This window comes from Homo sapiens, chromosome 5 (genome assembly GCF_000001405.40).
Source record: "Homo sapiens chromosome 5, GRCh38.p14 Primary Assembly".
Taxonomy (NCBI): Eukaryota; Metazoa; Chordata; class Mammalia; order Primates; family Hominidae; genus Homo; species Homo sapiens.
The window spans coordinates 136,684,761-136,691,169 of NC_000005.10; the positions used below are offsets into that span (position 1 = coordinate 136,684,761).

Sequence of the window (6,409 nt, forward strand, 5' to 3'; positions counted from 1 at the left end):
AGGAAAACAACCTGGGTAACTCAGCATCACTCAGTGTACAAAGATTCTTCTGTAATAACTCTCCTGGTTGAAGAAAAATGCATTATTGAGCATTTTAAGACCATAGGAAATATAGAATTAAGAGAACCAAGGTCACAGAAAACTCTATGAATGCCCTTGTAAAACTTTCACTTTTGTCAATATAAAATACATACAATCCAATCCAATTAAAAGAATATCAAGTTTGTTTGTTTTTCCAAGATGGCAGATTAGAGGCTTTTAGTGTGCCTCAGCCACTAGGAAATAGCAAGAGAGTGTATAAAGATCAACTCTGTGAGCCTGAGTTCCAGAAGAAAAATGGGAATCCACTGAAATTGTAAAGGACACTCTAGGTCCTGGGGAAGAGAATGTGTGCAAACAGCCCTTATGACCTTGTCCAGCTGGTAAAAGTGAGTGAAGCTCCAGTATGTGAGAGAAGCAGACAGTCCCCCTCTGTGACTCACCTTTCCACTAGGGATCCAAGCAACCCAGCTGAGGCAGAGCACTTTGCTTCTCCCAAACCCTGAAGCTAACCTGGGGAGAGACTTGGAGGTGCTGTAAGGGTACGACACTGGGAAAAGCTGCAGACATTTTTGCAGATCCAGGAACAAGAGCAAGAAACCATTTTTAATCTGGGTACATACAAATCAGCCATTCTTTGGAGACCTAGCACCATGGTCATGCAGGCATTTTAATCTTGGGCCAGAGATTGGAGTGCCTGCTTTGGAATAGAGTAAGGACTCCACAGACAGAACTGTGGAAAGCACCTCAGTAATAGGCATGAGAATTGTGCTCTCCTCCATTGCAGTCCTGGGACAAGAGGAGAGCTGCCACAACTATGGTTTCTCCGGGGTGATGAGACTTGCAGCTAGGGCCAGCTTGGCAACCTGGGACTGGTCTGCATGTGTCATTGCTGAGTGCCCAGTCTACTTCCCTGAGATTGTGGTACAGTGAGACCATCTCCACTCCACACCCATGCAGATCTCCAGGATTTCAGAGTACCTGCTAACCTGGATCAGCTGCCTGATCTACCCCACCTTTCCTATGCATAGATTGTGGTACATCTGGGCCCTCTCTACCCCGTGCTTAGGCAGATCTCTAGGCATTCAAAGCATCTGCTTGCCCAGATTGGCAGCTTGAGCTACCCCATTTTTCTTGTGCAGATATCTTGGTGCAGGGGGGCCCTCTCTGTTCCATGCTCAGGCAGATCTCCAGGCATTTGGAGTGCTCACTCACCTGGAATAGCAGCCTGAGCTGCTCTACTCTTCATGTGCAGTGATCTTGGTGCAGGGGAGTCCTCTTTGCTCCACATCCAGGCATGTGGAACACCCTCTTTCTTGAATTAGGAGTTTAGGCTGCCCTCCATAAACATCCTGAGAAGCTGGGTCTGAAGGGATTTCCTATCTCCACACCTAGGCACACTTCTGGGTGCTTGGTGGCTGCCCACTGGATTACCTCTCAGTGCTTGTGCTTGTGGTTGTCATCAGGGAATCTATAAGCAGACCTGCCCAGTCCAGCCCCACCCAACTTGGATCCCACTCCCCAAGGGCTGAGCATGAAACTCAGACCTCTGTGCATTCCATGAATCAGCTCATTGCCCAAGGCAACAGAAAGCTTCTCCCAGTAAACAACGATCAAGTGTATACCCAGCCACATTGGCTGTAGCTGGCTCTTACCTATAAGTGCCATCTACTGGCTTGTAGGTCAAACTGCATAGCACAATATAAAATCTGCCAAAAGAAGTATATAGGGCTATAGAGGCAAAGCCAAAAGACCCTACCCAGAATTCTTTACAGTCATATCCCCTAGGAAAAGGATGAAAGGAAAAAGAAAATAACAGAATAATATTATAGAGAAAAAAATAAAATATTCTACCTACACCAAAATAATTGCAAAAATTAGAAAGTGACAACATCTCCAGATGAGAAGGAGGAAGTGCAAGAATTCTGGCACCATAAAAAATCTGAATGTAGTAACATCACCAAAGCTCTCCAACAATGGTCCTTAGCCAAAATGGAAACTCAGAAATAGCAGATAAAGAATTCAAAGAATGGATTGCCAGGAATCACAATGAGATCCAAGACAAGGTTGAAAATCAACACAAAGAAACTTCTAAAGCAATACAGGAAATGAAGGAAGAGATCTTAAAAAGAAATCAGTAAGAGCTCCTTGAATTAGAAAACTCACTTGGGAAATTTCAAAATACAATTGAAAGTTTTAGCAATACACTGGGCCAAGCAGAAGGTAGAATCTCAGAGTTTAAAGACTGGTCTTTTGAACTAGCCAAATAAAACACAAATAAAGAAAAAAAAATTGGTTAAATAAACAAAGCCTTCAAGAAATATGGAATTATGTAAAGCAACAAAACCTAAGAACTATTGGCATTCCTGAGAGAGAAGGAGAAAAACTAAACAACCTGGAAAACATATTTGAGAATATAATTCAAGAAAATATTCCTTATCTTGCTAGATATAATAAATTCAGAGAATGCCTGTGAGATACTATACAATACAAACATCAACAGGGCATATAGTGAACTGATTGTTCAATGTCAATGCTAAAGAAAAAAATCTTAACAGCAGCTACAGTAAAAGGTCAGATCACGTACAAAGGGAATTCCATCAGGCTAACAGTGAACTTCTCAATAGATACCTTACAAGTCAGAAGAGATTAGGGGCCTATTTTTGGCATTCTTGAAGACAAGAAATTCCGACCAAGAATTTCATATCCTTCCAAACTAATCTTTATAAAGCTAAGGAAAAGTGGAATATTTTCAGACAAGCAAGTGCTAAGGGAATTTGTTACCACTGAACCAGCCTTACAAGAGATTCTTAAGGGAGGTCTAAACATAGAAACAAAAAAACAATACTTGCTACCACAAAAACACACTTAAGTACATAGCCCACAGACCCTATAAAACAACCACACAATAGAAGCTACAAACCAACCAGCTAACAACTTCACCTAGGATGGAAACATCACATATTAATATTAACCTTGAATGTAAATGATCTAAATAACCCACTAAAGAGGTACAGAGTGACAAGTTAAATAAAAAACAAGATCTATCCATCTGCTGTCTTCAAGAGAAGACATCTCACACATAATGACACCCATAGGCTCAAAGTAAAGGGCTGGAGAAATATCTACCACTCAAATGGAAAATAAAAGAGAGCAGGGTTCACTATTCTTATATCAGATAAAACAGGCTTTAGACCAGCAACAGTAGAAAAGAACAAAGAAGGGCCTTACTAATAATAAAGGGTTCAATTCAACAAGAAGACTTAAATACCTTGAATATATATGCACCCAGATTCATAAGATCAGTACTTCTAGTTATATAAAAAGACTTACACAGACACACAGTAATAGTAGGAGACATAAACACCCCACTAACAGTGTTAGAGAAATCATCAAGGCAGAAAACCAACAAAGAAATTCTGGACTTAAATTATATACTTAACCCATTGGACTTAGCCGATGTCTACAGAATATGCCAGCTATCAACCACAGAATATACATTTTCTCATCTGCACATGGAACATAATCCAAGATTGACCATATGATTGGCCATGTAACAAGACTCAATAAATTAAAATGTGTAGAAATCATACCAACCATACTCTCAGATCACAGCGAAATAAAAATAGAAATCAATACCAAGATCTCACAAAACCACACAATTACACAGAAACTAAACAATGTGCTCCGGAATGACTTTGGATTAACAACAAAATTAAGGCAGAAATAAAAAAATTCTTTGAAATAAATAAAAATGAAGACACAACATACCAAAAATCTCTGGGATGTAGCAAAAGCAATGTTAAGAGGAAAGTTTATAGCACTAAACACTTACCTCAAAAAGTTAGAAAATCTCACATTAACTATCTAATATCACTGCTGGAGGAACTAGAACAACAAAAAGAAACTAACTCCAAAGCTAACAGAAGAAAATATACAACTGAAATCACAGCAGAACCAAACAAAATTGAAACCCCCAAAAAACCATACAAAGAATCAACAAAACCAAAAATTGGTTTTTTGAAAGGATAACAAGATCAATAGACTACTAAGTAGATTAATAAAGAATAAAACAGAGAAGATCCAAATGAGCACAATCAAAAACCACAAAGGTAACATTACAACTGATCTCAAGATATACAAAAGATCCTCAGAGACTATTATAAACACCTCTTTGCACACAAACTAGAAAATCTAGAGGAAATAAATAAATTACCAGAAACACACAATGTCCCAAGATTGAATAAGGAAGAAAATGAAGCCCTAAACAGATCAATATTGAGTTCTAAAATTGAATCAGTAATAAGAAAAACCTATCAACAACAAAAAAGTCCAGGACCACATGGATTCACAGCTGAATTCTGCCAGACATATAAGGAAAAGCTGGTATTGGCCGGGAAAAGTGGCTTATGCCTGTAATCCCAGCACTTTGTGTGGCTGAGGCAGGCGGATCACTTGAGATCAGGAGTTTGAGACTAGCCTGGCCAACATGGTGAAATCCCATCTCTACTAAAACATTAGCTGGGCATGGTGGCACACACCTGTAATCCCAGCTACCGAGAGGCTGAGGCATGAGAATTGCTTGAACCCGGGAGGCAGAGGTTGCAGTGAGCTGAGATCACACCACTGCACTGCAGCCTGGGTGACAGAGCGAGACTCCATCTCAAAAAAAGAAAAGAAAAAGAAAAAAAGAGCTGGTACCAATTCTACTGAAAGTATTATAAAAAATTGAGGAGGAGGTTGTCCTTCCTAACCCATTCTTTGACGCCAGTATAACCCTGATTCCAAAGTCTGACAAAGACACAACAAAAAAGGAAAACCGTAGATAAATATTCCTGGTAAACATAGACACAAAAATCCTCAAAAAAATACTTGCAAATTGAATCCAGCAGCACATCAAAAAGTTAATTCATCATGATCAAATAAGCTTCATTCTTGGAATGCAAGGTTGGTTCAACATATATAAATTAATGTGATTCACCACATAAACAGAATTAAAAACAAAAATCATATGTTCATATAAACAGACACAGAAAAACATTTTGATAAAATCTAACACTTTTTATGATTAAAAACCATCAACAAATTAGGCATTGAAGAAACATAGTTCAAAATAATAAGTCATCTATTGCAAACACATAGCCAACATTATACTGAACAGGCAAAAACTGGAAGCATTTTTCTTGAGAAATGGAAGAAGACAAAGATGTCCATTCTCACCACTCCTATTCAACATAGTACAGGAAATCCTAGCCAGAGCAATCAAGCAAGAGAAAAAATAAAAGGAATCTAAATAGGAAGAAAAGAAGTCAAACTATCTCTCTTCTCAGATTATGTGATTTTCTACCTAGAAAACCCTGAAGACTCTGCCAAAAGGCATCTGGAACTAATAAATGACTTCAGTGAAGTTTCAAGATCCAAGATCAATGTACGAAAATCAGCAGCATTTTTATACACTAATAATATTCAAGCTGAGAGCCAAATTAAAATGGTTTTATTTATAATAGCCACACAAAAAATAAAATACATAGGCATACATATAACCAAGGAAGTGAAAGATCTCTACAACAAGAGCTACAAAACACTGCTGAAAGAAGTCGTAGATGACACAAACAAATGGTAAAACATCCATGCTCAATGATTAGAAGAATCTGTATCATTAAAATGACCATACTGCCCAAAGCAATCTGTAGATTCAATGCTATTTCTATCATACTACCACCATCATTTTTCACAGATTTAGAAAAAATATTCTAAAATTCATATGGAACAAACAAAGAGCCCAAATAGTCAAAGCAATTCAAAGCAAAAAGAACAAAGTCACAGGCATCACATTACCCAACTTCAAACCATACCATAAGGCTACAGTAACCAAAACAGCATGGTACTGGTATAAAAACAGACATATAGAACAATGGAACAGAATAGAGAACCCAGAAATAAAGCTGCACACCTACAGCCATCTGATCTTTGATAAAGTCAACAAAAAAAGGCAATAGGGAGAGGACTTTCTATTCAATAAATGGGGTTGTGATAGCTGGCCAGCCATATGCAGAATAATAAAACTGGACCACTACCTTTCACCATATAAAAGCTTAAGATGGATTAAAGATTTAAAAGTAGGACCTCAAACTATACGAATCTTAGAAGAAAACCTAGGAAACACCATTGTGGACATGAGCCTTGGCAAAGAATTTACGACTAAGTCCTCAAAAGCAATTGCAACAAAAACAAAGATTGACAAGTGGGATCTAATTAAACTGAAGAGCTTATGCACAGCAAAAGAAACTACCAACAGAGTAAACAGGCAACCTACAGAATGGGAGGAAATATTTGCAAACTATACATCCAACAAAGATCTAATATCCAG

At 38.2% G+C, this 6,409-nt stretch overlaps 1 annotated feature.

Moving 5' to 3' along the window:
* Nucleotides 821-1,325: an enhancer, noted in NCBI's record as "H3K27ac hESC enhancer chr5:136021270-136021774 (GRCh37/hg19 assembly coordinates)". NCBI's record gives its function as "activates a minimal SCP1, AML or CMV promoter by ChIP-STARR-seq in primed H9 embryonic stem cells {active_cell/tissue: H9 hESC(primed)}" and the evidence as "EXISTENCE:reporter gene assay evidence [ECO:0000049][PMID:30033119]".